Genomic DNA, 23443 nt, shown 5'->3' with positions numbered 1-23443 from the left:
AGTGTTTCTGTTCAAGCTGCTGCAGGGGACGGGGCATTTTTCCTCCAGACTCTATTTTCCTGCAAGGAAGAGCTGCTGTCCTTTTTCTTACTGAAGCCCCTGATTCTGTGTCTGATGTTGCTGACGCCGTGCTTGCTTTCTTGCCCGTGTGCAACTTCCCAATCCCAGCACACGTGCTCACTTCCCAAGGGTGAGGCGGGCACCGTGCCTGCGGGCGGCCCACCCTCACGGAAAGGGGCGCAGGATCACAGTTCAGTGGGTCACCTGTTCTCCAGGTCGCCCGCTGGGTTCTCTTCCGAGTGCACCTTCCTTTCTCTCTTAAAGCTTTTTAATAAACGTCCGCTCCTGCTCTGAAAAAAAAAAAAATTTTAAAAACAGGTGAATGGAAGGTGGGCATGGTTTGAAACACTCCTTTGGTTTTACCAAAGAAGCAAGACCGTCCCCTGTGGAAGTGACAGTGACCTGGTGTTGAACGCCAGCGTGGCCGGAGCTGTGAGCTTCACAGTCGTGGATGAGCGGAAGAACTTGAGTGTGGCTGCAGACGCCGACTTTTCCCTTCTTCTCCCCCTCCTCTTCTTCTTGTAAGATACACAAATCAAGAGCTGCCCGCAGCTTTAGTGGGACTGCGCGGTGGAGAAGGGAACTGCCACTGCCGCTGGGCCCAGCTCCTCGCTTCTCTCTAGAGCCGTGTGCTGGGCACGCAGCTCTGAATAATGCGGTTGGCTTTGCTCGTGGGTGGACTTTGGACGGAGTTTGTGTTTTGCCGTTTTTTTGTGTGTTTTTCTTTTCTGGCTGGCTGCACTTGGCACTGGGCTGTTGCCTGTAGCTCTGGATGGTTAACGTGGGTGGTGCACGTGCCCCAAAGCCAGGTCTGTGGTCAGCGGACATGCTGCCCAGCCCCTGTGGGGAGAGCGCTCTGCTGTGATGACTTCTATGGGCAAGACCTTCTGCATTTCACACGCTGCCAAGGCACTGCAGCTTGTTCCTGGCTCGGCTGGCCTGGCCGCTGCCTCTTGAACCAGAGAGCAGGGTGACGGTGGCCCAGCGAGCCAAGACTCAGGAGCGAGCCTCGTTTTCTGGAGGCCGAGCAGGGCTTCGTGCTGTGTCCGCGACGCGCACCTCCTTGCTTGTGATTGCCTGGGGCAGCTGACATCTCCCTGGGCCTGCGGCCGGCCCCTCATTGCAGAGAGCTGCGGGCTGCGTGGATACCAAGGCTGGGAGTTCAGGCTGCCGTGGCCGTGCTGAGTGGGCCCTCTCAGGAGGCACGCCGTGGGCAGGGCCCGGTGCTGGGACACGGGACGGTCCACCCTGCAAGGAACCTGGGCGGCTGCGCGGAGGCTGATCCCGGCGAGAATCAGACAGGAGGCTGAAGGTGCAGAGCTCTAGAAGTTGTTCAGGAATAGCCGGGGAAGGGGCGGGAGCAGGAAGGAAGGGGCTCTGTGTAAGGAGCCGCTCACTGTGTCATGTTCAGAGGCTCAGTTGGCAGATGCTCACATTCTACAGAGCCAGCCCCTGGTCCGACGCCGCACGCGCCTGCTCTGAGAGTAGCTGGGCCCCTCTGGGGACTCCCAGCAGCTGACTTCTGGCAGTAGGTTTCAGGTGGAGTCCACCCCAGTACCTGGGCTCAGCAGCACACCAGCGTCCAGGGCGTTTGTTCTGCGTGCCTTTGGCTTTTTAACCCTTGTTCCCAGGCTCCATCCTCCACCCACCAGACAATGGCAGAAATCAGACAGACCAACCGCAGCAGCTGACGTTTCCCAGCAACGCAGCCTGGGTGTGTGCGAGAGCAGAGTCTGCGGGAGTGTGCGCACGTACACGCCTGCCCTCGTGGCGCACGTGTCACCTCAGGGGCCACCATGACACTGGGAGCCTGTGGCAGGGCCGCCTGGGCCTGTGTTCCCTGAAACGGGCTGTGTCCTTCTGAGTGGAGCGTGAGCCTCCCTGACGGGCTGTGCCTGCGGTGGAAGGGCCTTTGCAGACCCCGCCTAGGCCAGGAGCAGGGGTGCACGGGGCTCTGTGCCTGCGTCTGTGGCCTCTCCCATCTCTGCCCCTCAGCCGTTCCCGGGAGACTTGCTGATGGATGTAGACGCAGCTGTCCTTTCGGGGTGTCGTCTCTGCCTGTGGGCGAGATGGGTAAAGTGCTCAGAAAGGGTTTTGTTTTGTTTTTTTTTTTAACCACAAGAAGCCCCTGTGGAGGCCGGGAGGCAGGGAGGCAGAGGGGACAGTGAGGGGCTCCGGCTGGGGACATTTCACAGACGGCCCCTCCCCCAGCCCCCACTTTGTTTCCGCTAGAGCTGGGTCAGCTGACTCACCACCTGCCAGAGAGCCAGGAAGGCAGGGGCTGGTCATGTCTGGAGCAAAGGCCTCCAGCCATGGCTTCTTGAGGGCGCACGGCCCAGGCTCCCCAGCTGACGCCGCTTGGTGAGGTGGAGGCTTTTCCTCCCCAGGCTCAGACAGAAGCTCCTGCCGCGGAGATGGGCCGCACGCCTCAGAGCTCAGACCTGTCCCGGGTCTGTGCAGCCTGCGTGTGGCCTGCACCCACAGGTGTGGCTTTGCCTGCCTCTGGTGTCCACTCTCTCCCAGAGAATTGCTCACCAGCCGGACCTGAAGAGCGAGAGTGGCCTGAACACGGCACCCAGCCTCTGTCGGCTCCTGTGGGCTGGCAGCAGCTTCAGGAGGCCTGAGAAGAGGCCTAGTGCCAGCAAACGAGACATGGGGCTCCACTGAGGGCTCATACGGGGCAGGGTGCAGTGGTGGCCGGCTGGACAGGAGAACGCACCTGCTTGAAAAAGGCAAGTGGCATGTATAGCATTTCCACTCAGCACCCTCCACCTGGCAACCTTCATGTAACCCAGAACACAGGCTCTCCCTCCCATTTGGCTTGCGGTGCACAGAACGGGGACGGGGGCTCAGATGTTCCTCTTAAATGAGAAGTGGATTATCCAGTTGTCCATACCCAGGTTCCATAGCTCAGATTGGAACTCCGAACCCACCCTCAGGTGCATCTGCCGCACGGTATTACTCAGGGTTTGCCGTGGTTGAGTCCCCGCCGTCAGGTGCGTCTGCTGCACCGTGGCCTGAATGACGTACCCTTGTCCTCTGGAGTTCTGAGCAAACCGCCTAGTGAGACGTGTCTGCGAACAGCACACAGCAAACGAGACAACAGCTTGTGTCCTCACCTGGCCACATCTGTGCACAGGTCAGACGGCAACGCCCAGGCAGCCTGACCCAGCCCTGGCAACCAAGCTCTGCAGGAGGCGGAGCTGGCATCTCCACTTTCTGAGGGAGTCCAGAGAGACTCAGTCAGTTCAGCTCTAATTTTGACTAACGCTCTTTTCCTCCATTTTTAATTTAAAAGTACATCCAAAGACACTCCAGGTAATGAGTTTCCCACCGTGGAGAAGAAAAGTAAAGCTCGACTTACCAGGCGGTGAGCGAGAAGAGAAAGCTTTAATTAGAAGCTTTACAATAAATGCTGGATGGCGTCTAGGATTCCAGATGGCGGAAACCCTTCCGCTCTTAGGAAATGTTTTGTGGCTGCTAACGAAGTGTGTGTGGAGTGTTGGGCTGGCGTCCCCGTGGCCCACCAGCACAGGGCGGCTGTTAGCCAGCACTGTCCGATGGTGGCCTGTGCTTCAGAGGGACAGAATTGGTCTGCAGAGACCAGCGAGGCTCCGGAAGGGGAGGCCGCTGCAGGAACGCGACAGCGAGGCTCCGGAAGGGGAGGCCGGCTGCAGGAACGCGACAGCGAGGCTCCGGAAGGGGAGGCCGGCTGCAGGAACGCGACAGCGAGGCTCCGGAAGGGGAGGCCGGCTGCAGGAACGCGACAGCGAGGCTCCGGAAGGGGAGGCCGCTGCAAGAACGTGACAGTGAGGCTCTGAAAAGGAAGGCCAGCTGCAGGAACACAGCCCGGCGCTTGAATGGGTACTGTGGTCTCAATGGCAGCTTTACTGAGATGTAATTTACATAGCAGAAATCCACTCTTCTGAAGTGTGTACCTCGGTGATTTTTAGTCACAGACTTGTGCAGCCATCGCCACAATCTAATTTTAGAACGTTTTCTTCACCCCCAGGGAAACTCCATTGCCTGTCAGCAGTGGCTCCCCGTCCCCCGCTCACCCCAGCCCCGGCAGCCGCTTCCCAGCCTTCTGTCCTGTGGACCTGTCTGCCCTGCACGTTTCACATTGGCGGACGCACGCAGTGGACATTGTGCTCGTGTCTGCTTTATCTCACCAAGCGTGGCAGCTCCACTCGTGTCTGCTTTATCTCACCGAGCGTGGCAGCTCCACTCGTGTCTGCTTTATCTCACTGAGCGTGGCAGCTCCACTCGTGTCTGCTTTATCTCACTGAGCGTGGCAGCTCCACTCGTGTCTGCTTTATCTCACCGAGCGTGGCGTCTCCACTCGTGTCTGCTTTATCTCCCTGACTGTGACTTTATCTTCCTGACTGTGGCATTTCCAGGTCCACCATGCTGTGGTGTGGTCCACGCTTTGTTCCTTTTCATGGCAGAGTAATATTCCACTGTTGGATAGATTGATTTCGTTTCTCCGTCTATTGGCTTATGGACATCTGGGTTGTTTCCACGTGTTGATTCTTGTGGACAGTGCTGCTGTGGACATTCACGAACAAATGCTTGCTTGGATGCATGTTTCCGGTTCTTTGAGGTTGATCCATGGGCGTGGAGTGGATAACGTTTGTCCTGTGCATTTGCTGTGCACCCACCCCACTTGCTGTGTGCATCCTGCCGCCACGGAGCCTCTTGGGGGTGACTCGCACAGTCCCGTCTTTTCCCTCTGCACACTCCAGTGTGGGCTTCCTAAGAGGCATTGTTGCCCATCTCGGGAAATGGACTTTGAGGCAGCACTTTTATCTCCCGGGGTATTCCATTCTTGTCGACTGACCCCATAAAATCCTTCACGACGCTCTTTTCCTTCTGGTAGAGCACCCATCTAGGATCCCTGTTGTGTCGAATTGTTACATCTCTTTCCTCCTTCTGAGTTTGGGATGATTGCTCTGCCTTTGTCTTTTGTCACATGGACATTTTTGATGCATCCTGGTTCCCCGTCCTCCCTTCCTGTTTATCTCACATTCCCTCCTGATGAGACTCAGGCTGTGCGTTCCTAGATGACAGCACGAGACGCACCCTTCTCAGGGTGTAGCATCTGGACCGGCCTCCTTGTTGGTGCTGCCCATGTGATCACCCAGCGAGGGGCTGTCCCGTCTCCACTGTGTGGTGACCTTTCCCCGAGCACTAATGAGCCATCCGTGGGGGACAGGTAGGCTCTGCAGTCCCCTGCACCTCACTGCCCCCTGAGATTCGCCCTCCATTTGTGACTCTTACCTGCCCCCGTCTCCCTCTGAAAGGTGCAGAGTGATGCTTTTCCAACTACTTTACCAGCCAGCACTTTATTAGAAACGAGACTCTTCCCATTCATGCATTCTTTCATTTTATTTAAATTATATTAGGTCTGTTTGTTGTTGGAGTAGACTTGCAGACTCCTGCTTTTCATGGTCTATCACGATTGTCTCTTCTTACTCATCTTACTGCTCACGTTGTCCCAGCTTTGGCGAGGACACCGTGTCCTTTGGGTGTCACCCGACGTGCTCTTGGAGCCTTTCTTGTCTCAACCAGAATCACCTGTCCCAGGCTCATCTTGTCTCTCCCTGCCCCGGCCCAAATCAGCCATTTCTCCCGGAGTCCTGGGCCCTTCTGGAGGGTGGCAGTGTTCGGGGCCAGGCCCTGTGCAGGTGGGCTGCAGAGATAGAGCTTGGAACATGTGAGCGTGTGTCTGTGAGTGTTCAAACGTACTCGCGTAGTCTGTGTGCTGCTTCTTACTTTCAATGTCTGGGTTAAGCCTTGTCCTCAGCCCTGACCCGTTCCCATGGGCTCCCCTCGCCTGCCCTGTCTCCCGCCTCTGCTGGGAGAGCCCCGGCTTCAGGAGCCTCCTCACATTGCCTCATGTGCCCAGTTCACGGGGTGTCTAGGACGGCTTTGGAATGGCTTCCCACCCCGCCACAGAAACACCCTCCTAAGAAGGTTTCTTTGTAGTTCTCTCCCCCACCCTGCCCCCCAAGACTGCAGGTGAGTGGGCGCGTGAGCATTAGTGAGCCCACCGCTGCCGCTTCTCACTGAGTGGGAGGTGCGGGGCCTGGGAAGGGCGGGTAAGCCGTGTCACTCTCGTGAGGTCAAGAGTTAATTGTTAAGCACAAAGAACGAGGAGGTCACGTTCAGTGCTAACACGGGGGTTTTTCCCATGCTTGCAGCTATGTACTTTTGAGCTCTTTCTGGGTTTAAAAAGCACTCATGTAGGAGAGTTGGGTTACCAGGAGACAGCAGAGCAGTTAAGACGCCTTGATTTTATCTCACCGTGGGCCTGCCAAAAACAATTACATTTGCCCTGGCTCCCAGGCAAGCGCTTGAGAAGGGCGTGTGTGGCTGCGCCGGCGGCACCCACGGAGTCCCTGCCCGGCCTGCTGGTCTCTGTCCTACAGCTCCCAGCTCTGGGATCTCAGGGTCAGGGACTCCAGGGCCCAGGGTCCAAGGCTGGCTCTACTGCGTGGGGACCTCAGTGTTGCACCTGCCCTTACCGCAGCCCGGTGGCTTGGCTGCTGGGTGCCTGTCGCTCGTGTGACTGGCCTCAGAGCAGTGCCGCCGCCAGCTTCACAGGTCAAGAGTCTGCTTCCGGCGGCTAGATGGCGGCGTGTCAGCTCTGTCTGCCCAGAGCCTTGGGCAAGTCCCCAGAAGAGACCTGGCGGAGAGGAGCGGCGTAGTGGGGCGGCGTGACGCTTCCACGCACTCAACAGCGGTGTCTGGTGCGGGCAGGATGGAAGCCGCGTCTGTGGCAGGGAGGGAAGGACGCCACAGTCAGCACTGTTCCCTGTGGTGGGTTGACGTGGAGGAATGAGTTGAGTCCCGTCCCTGATTGATGCCTGGGGCTCTGTTCAGACGCAGTTCCCACCCAGATCACCTTAAGGGAGCCCTCCCCGCTGCCGCTGCTGCCGTCCCTGCACTTCCCGCACAGCAGGCTTTAGAGGAGGTTGGGCTGGTGACCTTGGGTGACCCCTCGATGCCCATGGCCCCCAGCCCTGTATGATTTCTGCATGGCGTGCTTTTGCCAGTTAGACGCCAGGGGTTGCCGAGTGCTACAGAGCTTGTGGGCTTTGAGCCAGGAGAGCGTGGCTGAATTCCTGGCTGTGTCACCCACCATTTAAGGCTTCGAGCAGTGACTGACCCTTCTAGTGCCTCCTTGGTGTGGTGGGGACAGCGCTTACCCCACGGGGCTGCTGTGAGGGGTGGGGACCAGACCACGTTCCGTGTGGGTCTCCCCACGTCAGCTCGTCAGAACTGGAAGTCAGAAATGCTGGGTCTCTCGTCTGCGTATTTTAAAGCGTCTGCCCTTGCCCCTGTTGAAGCTATGTGAACGGGACTGTGTGTGGGGAATGCCTGACAGGTAGTTGGGTGCCTGGTGGTAGAGCACCCACCCCGCCTGCTTTCTGGGACTTGGATGGTTTTTCCCCATCAGCAACACTGAGGTCAAAAGGGGAGCTTCATTGAAGCATGCATCTTGTAAAGAGAGTGCCCGGGTGTCGGGGAGGGGGGTTTGGGGGCTGCTGCGTGACTGTCCTGGGTATTGTTGTAAAGACAGCGCCCAGGTGTGGGGGGTGGGGGTTTGGGGGGCTGCTGCCTGGCTGTCCTGGGCATTGAGCGAGTACATCCCTGGGGAGGAGGGCAAGTCTCGTCCCTGGGGCCTGGAAGGAGCTCCAGAGCACGGATGTCAGTGTGATGGCCATGTCCTTTTAGCTGGGGTGACTTGCAGGGCAGGCTCTGGAAGGGCAGAGGGAGGGGTGCGCCGGGCCTGAGTCGTGGCTCAAGCCACGCACGGTGTTCTGCAGGACTGTGCCACACGTGAGCCTGGCTTCTGGCTTGGCCACCCCACAGCAATCTCCACTTCCACGAGACCTGTTAGTGTGTGGGAGCCGCCCTGTTCCCAGGCTTCCCGGTGAGCCATTTATGAGGAAAGCAATCCTGATAGAAGTGGGCACAGAGGCCGCTCCTGCAGGCCACGGTCTGGGCAGCGCTCTGTTCCTGAGGAGCCCAGCACCACGGTGCTGGGGTCATGGAGAATACAGGCCCCACCTGCCTGAGAGACCCAGGCTTCCCACACCCACCGACACACAGCTTCATGTCCCACAGACGGGAGGAGAGAGGTTTTACTGGGCTCACTGTGGTTGTGTTATGTCCCACAGACAGGAGGAGAGAGAGTTTCCTGGGCTCATGTGTGGTTATGTTATGTCCCATGGACGGGAGGAGAGAGTTTCCTGGACTCACTGTGGTTGTGTTATGTCCCACAGACAGGAGGAGAGAGTTTCCTGGACTCAACATGGCTGCGTTCAGTCTTCATTGTGCCGCACCCGTTCACCCCCTGCTCTTTTGCAGATGTTTTCTTTAATTGGCCTTTTCCTTTCAATATGTTTGCATATCAAACTTTATGTTATCACAAATAAAAAACAGTATCATAGCTTTTAAACAGACCAGAACCGCAAACACAGGAAAAGTGAGGGGGTAGTACAGGTGGCTAGTTCCCTTCACCCACACATCCCGACGCCCTGCGCAGGTTTCTGTGAAGACGGAGAAGCAGGCACTGGTTCAGGTGCACCTTGTTAACATCAGGGACAGCTGCTGCCAGGTGGGTGAGGCGGGAAAGGAGGGGAGCAGCGCCAGGATCCAGCCCCGGTGATGGGAGAAGGAGCAGGAACCTTCCCGGCCGGCTGCTCCAGGAGCGCTTGGGTGCCGCAGAGCTCTTGGGCCTCGCACGCGGCCGAGAGCCTTCTAGAAAGGCAGCTTAGGTCGCACAGGCTGCTGGACAAGGCTGAGCCCTGCCTCCTACATTCATGGGAAGCTTGTCATGGCACCCAAGCATGACACAGAAGTGCCCCCACGGCATTTTGGACAGCCTGGAAATGCCAGGTTAGGTCCGGCTGGCCGGACTCAGAGGCTGGCCTTGTGAGAGTTTTCAGGGTGGCAGGGGAGGGCTGTGTTTTCTGTGAGGGGGGAGGGATTCTCCCGAGTGCCCCATGCCCACCCCACGTCCCACCCCACTTGGCAGACCCCCAAGACAGAGCCTCCGGAAGGATCCGCACATGACAGGTTTATTGACAAAGGCTGAACGTCACCAGCCTCATCAGCTTTTCTTACATTTTATGGGAAGGTTTTTACATCATCACCGCAGTTGTCCCCAGCTGTTATTTCTGTAGAAACAAATTCGTCAGCCACAGGTGCTGGAGTATTTCATTGTCCTGGCACCCGACTAACCCACACGGCAGCTCGCACGGTCCCAGTCCACATGAGTGCAATTGCCATGTTGATGTCAACAAGCAGTGACTGAACCACCCCGGAGCAGACGGCGGGCGCTCCACAGAGGGGCCTTCCTGCTGCTCCGGGCCGAGCGCTGCTGCTCCTCGTGGGCCTGGTGAGGCCGCACAGCGCCATTGCTGCCATCCTGGAAGATGGAGGACGCTCAGGCGTGCACCAGAGCAGCATGTTTTCCTTCTCCTCTTTAACTCGGCGGTGCGCTAGCTAGCTCAGACCGTGGGCACAGAGGACACACCGCGACGTCCAGCTCAGACCCACCAGCACCTTGCATCTCCAGCGTCAGTTCCCCCACGGTGGCAGATTTGCTTTAGGGTTCCTGTGTAACTGAGGCGCTTCACCCACAGTGGCCTCTCCGTGTGGCTTTCCTGGTCGACGGTGTCAGAAATGTTTCCTGCAGCGGCAGGCAGGTGCAGCGGCAGGCAGGGTTGGCGGGGAGGAGCTGGGTGACAGGCTGGTCACCGCTGGCCTTTGGACCCTGCGGGGCGAGCGCTTTGGGATTGTAGCAATTCTGTGTGAGGAGTGCAAGGTGACCAGTCGTGAGGTTTCCTAAGCAGCCCCAGGGTGACCAGGCAAGCGTGACCCTCGCGAGGCCCCGAGGAGCCAGAAGCCACATCTGACCGCAGTTTAGAGACATGACGTGGCCGTGCCTTGTGTCCACCCAGGTGTGTGCAGCTCCCGAGTCACACCCTGGCTGGGCCTATGCGGCCAAGGCTGTCTACACGGCACTGCTGAACCTCACATCCGACTGCTCGGTGCTGTCTGGAATGACGGCCTTCAGGGCAGCGTGACAGAAGCGGTTCAGGGCCGGCAAATTTGTTTTCTGCTCAATGTACAGCCTCAGCTTGTCCCTGAAGGTCTCCCCGAGAAAGCTGTAGATGAGGGGGTTTAGGCAGCTGTTGGAGAAGGCGGCGAGGTTGACAATGTGGCCCGTGAGGGGGTGGGCATGGCGGAAAGACTGCTTGCAGGGAGCGGCCCCAGGCTGCGTCCGCTGCAGGAGGTGCACGCTGATGAAGACGTTCTCCGGCAGCCAGCAGACGAAGAAGACCAGCACCACCGCGAGGATCATGCGGAGCGCCTTCTGCCGCCGGGGCCGCAGCCCACGGTGCCGGTGCGCCCTGACCAGCACCCGGACAATGAGGGAGTAGCACAGGCCGATGATGGCGAAGGGCACGATGAAGCCCAGCGTGACCTCGAGCCACTGCACCTCCCGGACATCCGCGAAACAGAAGCAGGCCTCGTCGGTGTGCTGCAGGTGCACGGCGGTGAAGGGCACCAGCGTGGCTGACACGGATGCCATCCAGATGAGGCCACAGCTCAGCCGGGCGTGGTGCTTGGTGCGGAACAGGCTGCAGCGCATGGCCCTGGCCAGGGCGATGTAGCGGTCGAAGCTCATCCAGGTGAGGAAGAAGACGCTGCTGTACATGTTGACCTGCAGGAAGAGCGACATGAAGGTGCACAGGACGGCGATGTCGTAGTACCGCTCGTGCAGGTTGAACACCTCAATGAGGGAGTCGGCCACCAGGATGAGGTCCGCCACCGCCAGGTTGATGAAGTACAGGTCGGGGATGGTCATCTTCTCGCGGAAGCTGATGTTCACCACCAGGATCAGGATGTTGCCCACAAAGCCGATGGGGAAGAGGAAGATGGTGTAGAGGCACGAGAGGAACAGGCCGATCACGTACTGCTGGTGCTCCGAGAGCTCACCTGTCCCATTGGCCAGGGCGGTGCCCAGGAGCGGGTGGGACAGGTTGAGCTCGGGGGAGGTGGTGTTGGGGGCCGCAGGCTGCGCGGTGCCTGGGTACATCTCCAGGCCCACGCCCCGGGCTTGGGAAGTCACATCCATGTCTCTGCACCGTGCAGCTTTCAAGATTTGCCGAAAGGCTCCCAGAGCTCTGTTTTAAATGGTGAATCCATCTTTAGAAAGAAGCGTGATTCTCCTTGAAGTGAGCCTGGCATTTGTCAGACAGGAAACTCCCCAGGAGGAGCACCTGTGGTGGTTTGGGTTGGGTTTGTTAACTGCAGAGAGTGGGAAGAACAGATGCTCCTCACACCGGCATGGTGCATCCGTGGAGGCGAGGGCCCTCCGCGTGCTCGTCCGGCGGGCGTCCCTGCGGGTGTCGGCCACCGTGCACAGTCCCGCGTGGAGCTGCTCACTCTCTGGGTACCTGGAGAAGCAACAGGAGAGGATGAAGTCTCATCGAGTGGCCCCAGCTTTGGGACAAGGCCTGGCTCCCCTGGCCGGGTGTCTGTAGAGTCTGGGTGTGTCAGGAGCACTGGGGAGGGCCAGAACCTCAGCTTTATGAGCTCGGGAGGTGGCTGTGGTTGAGCTGAGGTGGAAGAGTCGCCTGTGGGAAGTACATGGCCTTCTTTCCTGCAGGTCCCACGGCTGCTCAGCTGCAGCTGGAGGCTGGACGTGAGTCACTCCCACAGGCAGGGGTGTTTTTCCCTTTATAGCCACAGAGCAGGCCCAGGAAGCAATGAAGGTATGGGCACGGCCGCCCCAGGACAACGGCATTTGTGAGGAGAGGGGAAAATGCATTTCAGCAGCTGATGGAGAAGTAAGATAGGAAGGGAAAGCCAGTGTTTCTGAGAGAGAGAGAGTGGGTCCAGAAAGCTGGACATCAGAGCAGAATCTTCTCTTACGATAAAACAGAAGTTCAGCGGTTTCCTCATGCTAGTTCTGTGTTCTAGGTACCAAAAATAAACTTATTTTCGTAATATAGAGTGAAAGGGGTCATTGTTTTGGGAAATAATATGTACGTTTTTATTTCATGTTTTAACAAATTATTGTAAAACCTAATATGTTTTTGCAATGCTGTTTGTAACCTAGGAAGAAACTCCAGGGAGAGAGTCCCTCCCGAGCTTATCCTCTGCAGAGAGGGAGAAGTGGGCTGTCCGCCCACGGCGGTGCCCGGGCTCTGCCGCCAGTGGGGAGGGTCCCGTCACCCACCCCGTGTCACCCTGGCTCTGCCGCCAGTGGAGAGGTCCCGTCACCCGCCCCGTGTCACCCCGGCTCTGCCGCCAGTGGGTAGGGTCCCATCACCTGCCCTGTGTCACCCCGGCTCTGCCGCCAGTGGGGAGGGTCCCATCACCCACCCCGTGTCACCCTGGCCCTGCTGCGAGTGGGGAGGTCCTGTCACCTGCCCCGTGTCACCCCGGCTCTGCCGCCAGTGGGGAGGGTCCCGTCACCTGCCCCGTGTCACTGTGCTCCTGGAAGTTCTCTATGCAGCGGGCCACGGGGGTCTCAGCCTGCAGACACTGGCAGTCTCTGGGGATGCGGGGGCAGTCACAGGGGGGTGCTGGTGGGGCCAGGGCTGCCGCTCAGCTCCCTACAGTGCCTAGGACAGGTGCCCAAGCCCAGCAGAGAATTACCTGGCCCAGATGGTGCTGGTGCCCTGGAGTAAACTAACACTTCAAAATGGGTTTGAGTTGTTTTTCCTTTGGGAATTTTCATTTTACCTTTTGAAATCATTAGGAGTTATTGTTTTGAATGTTTTTTTTTTTTGGTCACCCAGGTTGGAGTGCAGTGGCACAATCTCGGCTCACTGCAACTGCCGCCTCCCGGGTTAGAGTGGTTCTCCTGCCTCAGCCTCCTGAGTATCTGGGATTATAGGTGTGCACCACCACGCCTGGCTAATGTTTTATATTTTTAGTAGAGATGGGGTTTTACCATGTTGCCCAGGCTTGTATCGAACTTCTGACCTGTAGTGATCTGCCCGCCTTGGCCTCCCACGGTGCTGGGATTACAGGTGTGATCCACCGCGCCGGGCCAGGGGTTATTGTTTTGAAGTGCTGCAAAACCAGACTAGAGATTTGTTGACCTATTGCTTGAAAATACTTACTTAAAAAAAAAAAAAAAAAAAAGGCTGGCCTATAATCCCAGCACTTCAGGAAGATGAGGTGGGAGGATTGCTCAAGTTCAGGAGTTCGAGACCAGCCTGGGTAACATGGCGAAACCCTGTCTCTACTAAAAAAAGACAAAAAAAGTAGCTGGGCATAGTGGTGTGCGCCTGTAGTCCCAGCTACTCGGGAGGCTGAGGCAGGAGGATCGCCTGAGCCTGGCAGGTAGAGGTTGCAGTGAGCCAAGATCACACCACTGCACTCGAGCCTCAGCCGAGATCACACCACTGCACTCGAGCCTCAGCCGAGATCACACCACTGCACTCGAGCCTGAGCTACTGCAGTGAGGCCCCATCTCAAAAACAGGCGGGTGGGGAAGACAAGATGAATCACTGCCTCTGTGTCAGTTATTCTAAAAGTACTGAATAACCTTCACTTAGCTGGGGCTGGTGAATTTGATTTTGGTTATTTTGCACTCTTGATTCATCTTTAGTAGATAATACCATTGAACAGCATAAATGCCTCTGCTCTCAGGCTCTGTCGGGAAGGTTGAAAGACTCCGCATTTCGCCTCTGTATTTAATTTCTTAAAAACGGCACAGAGGACTTGTTTTGCTCTTTAAATGTAGAAATTTTGGAACGTATTAGACCGTGGCGTGGCAGGAAGTTTAAAGGTGGGCAGAACCCTCAACTTAACGTTTATTTTCTTTCCTAATTTTGTTAAATGAACTCCAAGGGAAAAATAGTTTAAAAACGAGTCATTCATTTCTTTCCCATGTAAATTGAGTCTTTTGATCGTTGCCAGACACCGAGAAGATACGGGACCTGGTGTCTGATGTGTCCTAGTGTCTGATGTGGTCCTGGGTGAGAGGAACCTAGTGTGCCATTCACCACTGGCCCCACGTCCTCACTGGAGGTGGCCATGGAGTTATAAACAGTGCAATACCTCATTTCAGATTTCCTCTGCTTGTCATAGAGAAATAAAGCCACACTTTAGTCAGCTGTATTAAGTCTGCATCTGTCAAAAGGCGTGTGGCCCTCCCAGGGCTTCAGGGTTGGTGAGAGTGACTGGGGCACCGCAGGGCAGGGCAGAGTGGGCACCCTCATTTTCTTGAAGTGAGACACGTTCTTGCTGGGACAGAACGTGACGGAATACTGGGTCCTGCTTTCAGCACGAGTTAGAAAGGCCGTCCAGGCAAAGCCCCTGCTGCGGTCACGCTGAGACCACCGGAGCTCCGGGGGAGAGGGGTCTGTGCCTTGAGTTTGGGAAGCTGGGTGCTGCTCTCACCAGGGGGTGAGGTGTCTGGTCTGTGTTCAGCTGTTCCCATAACAGGACAGCGGCCTGGGTGGCACCACCCACCCGCTCCCCTAGTCAGTGGTATGGCACCGCCAGGCCGAGGCTGAGTCCTACCTGGGTTGCAGCCCCTTCTGTGCTCCTGGAAGCCTCCTTGGTCAGGCCCATCAGGCTGGAGGTGCACTTGGAACCCGCTGCAGGAGGTGTACCTCTGCTGGACCTGCCGAATGCCTGAGCAGGGCTAGAGAGAGGAAGAGACCCGCCCTGGGAGCCCGCGAGGGAAGGTTCCCGGCTGGCTGGCGGGTGCGTCCTCCCTCTGAGCCAGTGAGTCTGCCCCTTGGCACAGGGCTTTATAGGCCCCCTCCGCCCCGCTCCTCTCTGGCTCCTCTCTGGCCAGGCTCTGGGCGGCCTCCTCAGAAGGCTAGTGTTAACCATTTTTTTGCTGGCCCTTTTTCTCCCACACTTTGGCAATCAGCTCAGTTCTACTAGACTTGTTTTTGTGGAAGTTTCTGGTTTAACTGCTTTTCTTCACCCACAGATACAAACCTTTCTTTAAGTTTGAAGGCATCATACTAGGTGTTGTGTATCTTTTAGGCAATAACCTGTCCTCCTGGGTTGAAGCAAGCAATATTCTTGTTTTTGCAACTGACCTGCGTTAAACACTAAATTTCATAATTAACTTAGTAGCATGTGCATGATCCATAAAGAATTTAACAGGAATTTCACAGACATTTGCAGAGAGAAGTGTAATCCCAAGAAATAGGCATTTCTGACAAGTAACTTAGGAATCTGAGTACTGGTTAAGCATCTGGAAATCTGAAATCCAGAGTGCCCCACAGTCCGACACTGTTGGAGCGTCGTGACACAAGTGGAAAATTCCACACCTGACCTCGTGTGGCGGGCTGCAGTCCAGGCAGTTCAAAGTTTGTTTTATGCATGAAATTGTTAAAAGTGTTTTTATAAAGTTGCCTTCAGGCAGTGTGTATAAGGTGTGTATGAAACACAAATGAATTTCGTATTTAGCTTTCTCATTCTGTACCTGCAGATATTCCAAAATCTGCAAAAATCTGAACTCCGAAACTCTTCCGGTCCCAAGCATTCAGACCAGGGACCCTCAGCCGGTAGTTTTCTCTGAGTGTTAGCGGTGCCTCAGGTCCCTCCTCCCGCGCTCGCTGCAGAAGCGTCGGAACTTACCTGCCGTCCAGATGTTGGTGGCCTCTTCCCCACCAGGGCCGCCTCTCCTGCTCATGGTTGCGGATTTCACAGTCTCGTGCAGGCGGAGAATAAACCTCCCTCCCCGGACTCTCGGGGCCGCTGAACTGCCTCATGCGGGGCGGCCACTTCCGAGTGCGCCCCCTACTGGCCATTTGAATTTTCACTCGCCGCTTCGGGAACCGATGGCCGCCCCATGAGGGCAGAGCGAGGCCCCCCAAGCCCGCGTGGGCTGTCCAGGCCGAAGGGGTCCTCAGGCACCGCCAGCCCCGGCTCTCCAGGCGGAGGGGTGGGTCTTCCTCAGAAGGGAACTTCAGCGAATCTCACTCCTACTTCTAGGTGTCGTTTTCCCTCTGTAATGTTTTGAAGTGGTGAGATTGAATGCTGAGTGATCCTTTGTCCGCTGAGTATGAGTAATGCGGCTGCTGCAGCCTGAGGCGTGGTTCAGAGACCTGCGTGGGCTCCCCCCTTCCCCCTCCCCCCCAGGAGAGCTGGTGCAGGCAGAGGACTGGGGTGCTGGGCCTCCAGGTGCACTCGGCCCCTCGGGACCTGCTCCCCGCCAGGAGAGCTGGTGCAGGTGCAAGAGTGGGGTGCTGGGCCTCCAGGGGCACTCGGCCCCTCGGGACCTGCTGGGGCTCAAGGCATCTGTGCAATAGCAATTTAAAGTCTTTCAGATGTGTATTTTAGGAAATATACACACATTTCCTAAACAGAATGCTGTGTTAATTTTTTAATGGAAAAATACTAACGTGGAGTTTTCTTCCAGCAGTAGAAAGTTGACAACTCTAATATGTACCTTTTTGTATTTGGATGATAAAGAGCTGATTTGCTCTTAGACATTTTTTGACCAGCTGTGAAGTTGAGATGATTTCAGCATTAAAAATGCCTGAGACACAATTTTGAAAGATGTGAGTCATGAGAAAGTACAGAAAAAAATAAGTAAAATAAAAATTCAAACCTTGAAATAGCTGAGACATGTCACTTAAAAATAGCTGCACCCTGCTAGTGCAAACCCATGGCTTCTGGTCTCTCTGCCCATCCCAGCGGCTGAGGAAGAGCTCAGCTCCCAAGCTCTCCACTCACGTGCCCTGGGTTTCCTGGGGAGCCTGCCCTGGGCGGGCGAGTGGCCGATACTCCTAGATTTCCTGCTTGCAGCATAGAGTCAGCGGATCGGGGCATCTGGGTCTTGGAGCGCAGCCTTCTCCTGTGGGCACTGGGCGGGTAAGTAACTTGTACTGTACAGCTACTGATGTAAGAGACAGGGCCCGGACTGCAGGAACTTCCGTCTCCAAGACCTACTTAATACTTGATGTGTGACGGCATGGCAGGAATCTCGTGGACTATTTGTAAGGCATAGAGACCTTTTGCCGATTTTTAAATCTTTTTTTTTTTTTGAGACAGGATTTTGCTCTGTTGCCCAGGCCAGTGTGCAGTGGCCTGATCTCAGCTCACTGCAGCCTCCACCTCCCAGGCTCAAGCCATCCTCCCACCCCGGCCCCTGAGTAGCTGGGACTACAGATGCGAGCCGCTAATTTTTTTTTTTTTTTTAATTTTTTTGTAGAGATAAGGTCTCACTGTATTGCCAAGGCTGGTCTTGAACTCCTGGGCTCAAGAGATCCTCCTGTCTCAGCCTCCTTCAGTGTAGAATGTGACATTGTACACATGCATGCTGGGCGCTGTGCGGTGCTCTGCGTGCTTGATCTTAGGTCACCCTCCTTCAGAGCCTGTGAGGCAGGGCTGTCCTTCTCCCCGTCTCATGGTTGCAGAAACTGACTGCAGGGAGGTGGTGTCACCGCGGCCTCACAGCTGGCCAGGAGCAGATCTGGGAGGGGCCGGCTGACTCTGAGCACATGGTCTCGGCCTGTACACCAGAGGCGTCCTGGGTCAATAGTCATCTTTTCAGGCACTGATTTCCTTGTTGGATCTGATGTCGTTATGAATTTTTAAGAAGTGAAAATATTTTTCTGTTCATCCCCAGGATAGAATAAAAGGAAAGAACTTCAAGGGGAATTTCATCTGATCATTGCTTATTGAGCTAAATGCACACATAGCCAAATACTGGATAATGCATAGAGAAAAACACGCACAAAGTAAGGCAGTGTGTCTCCAGCTTCAGGAGCCCTCCCGAGTGAATGCCACGTAGGAAACCTTGGCCCTCGCCTTTGACCCTTCAGTCCTCGCGTGCAAAGCCCAGTCCTTGTGCTGAGAGGCCCCAGACACAGGGCCTGCAGTGCCTTCCCAGCGCCCCTCCCTCTGCCAGCACTGACTGACTGAGCAACCCCTTCCTGCTCCCTGTCCCATCCCCAGTCCTCTCCCATGCCCTCCATGGTAGGCAGCAGCATGGGTCCCCCTGATTCTGCAGGAGCAGAGCCCTCAGGGAGTTGCATGTCGCCGTCCAAACAACCCTGGTTTTCAGCGTTGCCGGCTCCAGCCCGGGTTCCACTTCCTCACCCCACGTGCTGTGTGATACCGGGCAACGTCTCTAACCTTCCTGAGCCTCAGTGCCCATCTGTACAGTGGGGGTGCGTGGGTCTACACGGTTCTGTGAGATCCCACACACCCCTTGTCTCTGCTGGGCGGAGTGAGGCTTCCCTTCCCACCAACTGCTGCTCCTTTTCAAGGGGAGCGGTCCACCAGGGGCAAGGGTGGGGCGGCACTGCCTGAGATTAGCCCAGTCCTGGCTCATTCGCTTCTCCCCCATAGGCACAAGGGAGGGAGCAGTTGGTTGGAGGTGCTCACAGTACCACGCGCCGGATCCACCTTACAGGGGAGACATCAAGCTGTGTGCAGAAGGAATTCTAGAGCTAACACATGCTGGAAGACAGCCCGAGGTTCGGAGAAGTGCGCCGTGTCTCACATGCCAGGCGGACACATTCTCTGATGATGGAGAGTCAAGGGAGGCCGAGAGCCCCTTCCCACGCCCCCGGGAGGGCATCGCTGGCGTCCCCCGCCTCCGCGTGACATGCAGGAGCACCCTCGGGCATCCGATCCTCACAGGCCTGGAGCATTAAGGAGACATGCACCAGCAGCCCCTTTATAGAAAGAGCCCAGGTCCCAAGGAAGCTGTGTGTGGGGTGTGCGGGTTTTGCCGCACCAGTGGCAGGCGGGGTTGGAACTCTGCTCCAATTTCTGCATTCCGTGCCATATCCTGACTTTAGGGACATCCTGTGACCTCCCCTCAGACAGACTTGCCATGTCTTCCATCTGTTCCATTCCGGCCTGGGGAGGTTAGCTGCTGTCAGGACGTGGTGCGGCCCACAGTGACTTCGTCTCTCTTGTTCCTTCAGAAGCACGCAGGCCGTGGCTCCGCGCCAGGTTGGAGCCTTTCATTCAGGGTGTGTGCCTGCCGAGCCCGGAAACAGTGCGGTGAGGGGCAGGGCATCCTGGTTTTCTGCTGTGTCGCCTGGCACTGGTGGACGTGGGCGCGTCGGTGCCGCCGTCCTGTCCCTGTTTGGTGTCTGCAGCTGGAGGGCCCAGTTAACGGTGGGTGTGTGCAGACCACAGTTGACCACAGCATGCTGAGCACGGAAGCTCAGGTGCTCCCGTCGTCTGCGCCTCCACACTCTCGTGTTTTTTTTTGTTTTTTTTGTTTTTTTTTTGAGATGGAGTCTTGCTCTGTCGCCCAGGCTGGAGTGCAGTGGTGCGAACTCCACTCACTGCAAGCTCCACCTCCCGGGTTCACACCGTTCTCCTGCCTCAGCCTCCCGAGTAGCTGGGACTACAGGCGTCTGCCACCAGGCCCGGCTAATTTTTTGTATTTTTTTTTAGTAGAGATGGGGTTTTACTGTGTTAGCCAGGATGGTCTCGATCTCCTGACCTCGTGATCCACCCGCCTCACCCTCCCAAAGTGCTGGGATTACAGGCTTGAGCCACCGCGCCCGGCCCACACTCTCATCTTCTATCACTTTCCCTCACAAGACGGAATTTGCTGCACTCAGAGACCATCTGGCCCGTCAGCCCCTGGGCGTGACTCCAGCACTGAAGGCGCGTGCGGCTGCTGGCCTACAAGGCATTGGCAGTTTTGCGGGTCTCCCAGCAGGGCCCCCTCAGTGGTTGCTGGGAGCATTCTGGGCGCATCCTTGGGTTCTCTGGGAGCGTCGTGCCAGGGGCACTTTACAGAAGAGTGGGCAGGGTGGTGCTGGCTGAGCTCTGCCCTTGGGGGACCCTCCGCCCCCAGGAGCACATGGCGGAATATCCGAGGAGAGGCCAGCACCTGGGCATTGTCCCAGCCCCACCTCGGTCACTGCCAGGCAGTTCCTCAAGGAGCCTCGGGGAGGCTCCTCCCACCCCACCTCAGTCTGATTTTATCTGTTTGAACGTAAGACATCGTGAACCCTTTCTTTGGATAAATGCAAATGACGCATCCTCTCTTCAGTAGCACCACACTCCCCGGTGCTTCCTTAGTTCTCTGCGGGCGCTGGATCTTCCCCTTGGTGGGAACATGGAACACTGCCTGTTCTCTGCGTTCTCTGTGTCCAGAGGGTTACGAGATGGGGCAGTGGCAGGAGCTGGACACAGGACCAGGATCATGCAGCACCTGCCCTGCCCCCCAGGGGCTGTGATATGCTTTGGGATGCCCACCCCATGAAGCCCACTATTCTGGAAGCTGCAGTCATCTCTGCCCATCGGTGGCCTGGCCGGCTTTGGGTCTTGGGTGAGAGTGTGGTGCGTGGCCCATGCTGGCCCCTCCTCCTGTGAGCCCGTCCCAGCCACTCACAGCACCTGTTTAACCCCATTCACTTTGTCTTTAAGTGGGGATGGATCATCCCCTGCTCTGAGTAACTCAGACCAACGGCCCATGAAGACTGTGCTGTAGAGTCCTGTGCACGCAGCGCCCTCGGGCCCCATTGTGATGTGCCTCACAAGCACCTCGCCCCCGCCACCCTCTCTCACCCCCCAGGCACACAGGGCGCCGCGGAGCCACGCGCTGGGCGGGAGCACTCTGACCTTACCGTGAGGGGACGTCCACCTGCACCCGACAGTGATGAGTGGTTCCCAGGACTCCGAGTACCATGGAATGAAGAACAATGGTCAGACTGAGAGGAAGTGGTTTGGAATGTTTGTTTAATTAAGGCAAATTGGAAACAAGATCCTTTTAACATGGACTGCAGGTCTGAAAGCTGCGTGAGGCTGTCCAGATGTCCCCTCCCGGCGGCTGTCAGCTGCAGGCGCTTTGTGTGGGAGTGCGTGCTCCTGCGGGGCGGCGTTTGTGGATGTCGCCGTCAGGTGCTGTCCCCGTTCGCGGGGTCCGCCCTGCTCTCCCGTGCGGTCATAGCCAGGCCTGGCCACCTGGTGGGTGGGGGGACAGGCACACACCTGAACTTGGCCCCGAGAACGGAGTCTGGAGCTGAGGTGAAGGCTGCTGACTGCTTTCTCCTTATTACTGGGCTTTTATCGTGGACAGGAGGGGCCCCTGTGCAGGCAGAAGAAAGCCATGGGTTCGAGAGGCCTCCCTGTCCCTCCCCCAGGCTGCAGTGGGCAGAAGAAAGCCATGGGTTCGAGAGGCCTCCCTGTCCCTCCCCCAGGCTGCGCCTTGTCTGGGTCGGGGCTTCCAGGTTCCTCGACTGGCTCCAGCTCCACAGCCTGTGTGCTGTGTATGGCATGAGGTCCTGGTACCTGGCTACCAAACGACGTAAGCGTGACCTGAGCCCTGGGTCTCAGCTTCCCCGTCCGCGTGGCGGATGCCAGCACAGGCTTTCTGGCTCCAGTCCAGGCTGCCCCCTTGCCGCCACCCCTGCGCCGTGCCAAGCCCCGCTCGAGCCCGCCGTGTTTGTACTTAGGTTTTGTTCTGGTTCTTCTGCCCGGGCTCGGGCTCTACAAGGAAAGGGAAGAATTCTGAGTGGTCCCAGACAGGTTCCCCTTCCCCCACCTTTCATGGCCCCCTGACTTGGGGGTCTTAGGAGAGGGGGTCCTCACAGTTATCCCCGAAGCCCTCTCAAATCCCAGCCTGGCAAGGTCAGTCTGGTGGAGCGGGGCTGGGTGTGCTTAGCTCACCCCCACCCGGCCTAGGCACCAAGCCCGTCTCCCAGCGGCACTGCCCGGCACCGTCCCCGGCCCTGGTGGCCCTGGATGACGGCACGCGGGGAGGGACCAAGCCCTTTGGGAGCTGCAGGTTGCAGCCTTGCTGGGCTGCCGGGTGGGGGGCGTGCTCCCCCTCCTCCACTGCTACCACTGCATAGTCTAAGAGGCAGAGTAACAAATGCAGGGCCGTGCAGGCTCCAGCTCGGCCGGCCTTCCTGTTCTTCCCACCTGGCCCCCTGCACCCTGGGCCTTGACAGCCTGGCACCTTCTCCCCGACCTTACCCGCAAAGGCAGTTCATGCAGAGTGGGACGAGGTGCAGGGCCCAGGCCAAGCGGCTCTCAGCCCACCCTCTCTCACTGAGAGCTTCCCATGTGCGTGGCACTGTGTATATAATTCGCCGTGACCCTCTGCAGCCGAGGTCACGGAGTCAGAGGGATGAGGTCATTGCTGCTGGTACCCAGCTGCTTAACGATGTGTCGGCAGTCTGAGCCTGGGTGCCTTAGCCGAGAACCTGTAGTTTTCAGATGATCATTTCTGAGAATTTGTGTGCAGTAAAATACTCCTTTTGGCTTTCACCACAGAGGCATCTAGTCGTGGAAGCACGGTGCTCGCAGGCAGCGCACAAACCGTCCTGTTCCAGACTCCTCTGCCCGTCCCTGGGTGGTCAGCCCCTCCCTCCACCCAACCTGGCGGCCGTGCGGCTGCACTCTGCTCCCGTGATCAGACTCCCCGGACCGTCACGCGGGTGGCACCTGTGCGTGTGCAGCCTCCGAGCCTGGCTGTCCCCGTGCCTCCTGCGCTTGAGATGGTGTGTCACGTCGTGCACACCAGGTGGCCGTGGCTGCTCGCCACTGAGCACGGGGGGCTGTGCCGCGGTCTGTGTCCCGCCATCGTGGGAGCGACATTTGAGTTCTTTCCAGATTGTGTCTATTATAAAGCTGCTTTAAATGTTCACATACAGGGTTTCATGTGAGCGTAATTTTATTTTGGGTGGATCGCTAGGATTGGGCATCGCTGGTTCTTACAGTGTGTGCACATTTAGCTTCATACAAAGCTGCCAAAGTGGCCACTCTGTTTTGCGTTTCTGCCAGCACCTGTCCTTCTAACCCCAGGGAAAGCAAAGGGTCCTACTGAGCCCTGGAATTCCCTGGGAGGAGGGGTTGGCCCTTCACAGTCTGTTTTGGTGGCCGGTTTCCGGCCAAGAGCCAGGGGCTTGTGGGACTCGTTCCTGAGCCACGCAGAGGGGCTGCCAAGGTCAGGTTCGGGGCCTGGGGGAACTCCCCAAAGCCGGGACCTTGAGAATTGTGTGTTCTTGACGGCAGCATGGGCCCTCGCTGCTTAAACAACCCTTCAGAGAGGTTCTAGAAAGCATGGGCGCCACTTCTCCAGGGCTGCTTCCCCAGAGCTGGGAGGCCGGGGACTCCAGTGGTGAGGGCTGGTGGCTCCTGCAGGGCCCTGGACCCTCTGGAGGGCATCTGGGAGTCACCCCTGCCCCTGAGCCCTCCCAGCCCCCGCCAGGGCCTGCCTGCCACGGGGCCCCTCAGAGGAGCTGCTGCCCCTGCCACTTCCCGTCACACGTCTACATTGGGCAGGGAGGGGGGTTGTGCAGATTCCCTCAGCACGCTGGTTTATTGAATGTTTTCCCGGCCTCTTCCTGGGTTTTATTATCATTTTTAATGGATAAGTAGTTATAGGCTGTGGTGG

The 23443-nt window shown here is 57.3% G+C and overlaps 2 protein-coding genes across 10 annotated transcripts in view, besides 2 other annotated features; one reads left to right on the top strand and one right to left on the bottom strand.

Annotated features, from left to right (window-relative positions):
- Positions 1 to 23443, top strand: part of CHLSN (cholesin) — a 160294-nt gene that overhangs the window by 35314 nt on the left and 101537 nt on the right. The gene's annotated exons all lie outside the window — the stretch shown is intronic.
- Positions 1935 to 2435: an enhancer, noted in NCBI's record as "H3K4me1 hESC enhancer chr7:1140145-1140645 (GRCh37/hg19 assembly coordinates)". NCBI's record gives its function as "activates a minimal SCP1, AML or CMV promoter by ChIP-STARR-seq in primed H9 embryonic stem cells {active_cell/tissue: H9 hESC(primed)}" and the evidence as "EXISTENCE:reporter gene assay evidence [ECO:0000049][PMID:30033119]".
- Positions 6742 to 7451: an enhancer, noted in NCBI's record as "H3K4me1 hESC enhancer chr7:1135129-1135838 (GRCh37/hg19 assembly coordinates)". NCBI's record gives its function as "activates a minimal SCP1, AML or CMV promoter by ChIP-STARR-seq in naive H9 embryonic stem cells {active_cell/tissue: H9 hESC(naive)}" and the evidence as "EXISTENCE:reporter gene assay evidence [ECO:0000049][PMID:30033119]".
- On the bottom strand, positions 9134 to 15826 carry GPER1 (G protein-coupled estrogen receptor 1). 3 transcript variants are annotated; one of them, NM_001039966.2, is made up of 3 exons: positions 15700 to 15826; positions 14623 to 14746; positions 9134 to 11537 (listed from the first exon to the last, which is right to left on the bottom strand). In NM_001039966.2, the coding sequence occupies exon 3, from the start codon at positions 11213 to 11215 to the stop codon at positions 10088 to 10090; it is 1128 nt and encodes a 375-aa protein (NP_001035055.1). In that variant the 5' UTR covers positions 11216 to 11537; positions 14623 to 14746; positions 15700 to 15826; the 3' UTR covers positions 9134 to 10087. The 3 variants fall into 3 exon arrangements, with proteins under 3 accessions (NP_001035055.1, NP_001496.1, NP_001091671.1); NM_001505.3 differs by lacking the exon at positions 14623 to 14746; NM_001098201.3 differs by lacking the exon at positions 15700 to 15826 and having other exon boundaries at positions 14623 to 14831.

Source organism: Homo sapiens, chromosome 7 (genome assembly GCF_000001405.40).
Source record: "Homo sapiens chromosome 7, GRCh38.p14 Primary Assembly".
Classification (NCBI taxonomy): domain Eukaryota; kingdom Metazoa; phylum Chordata; class Mammalia; order Primates; family Hominidae; genus Homo; species Homo sapiens.
The sequence above is the reverse complement of the archived record's forward strand: the minus strand, read 5'-3'. Positions and strand labels throughout refer to the sequence as shown.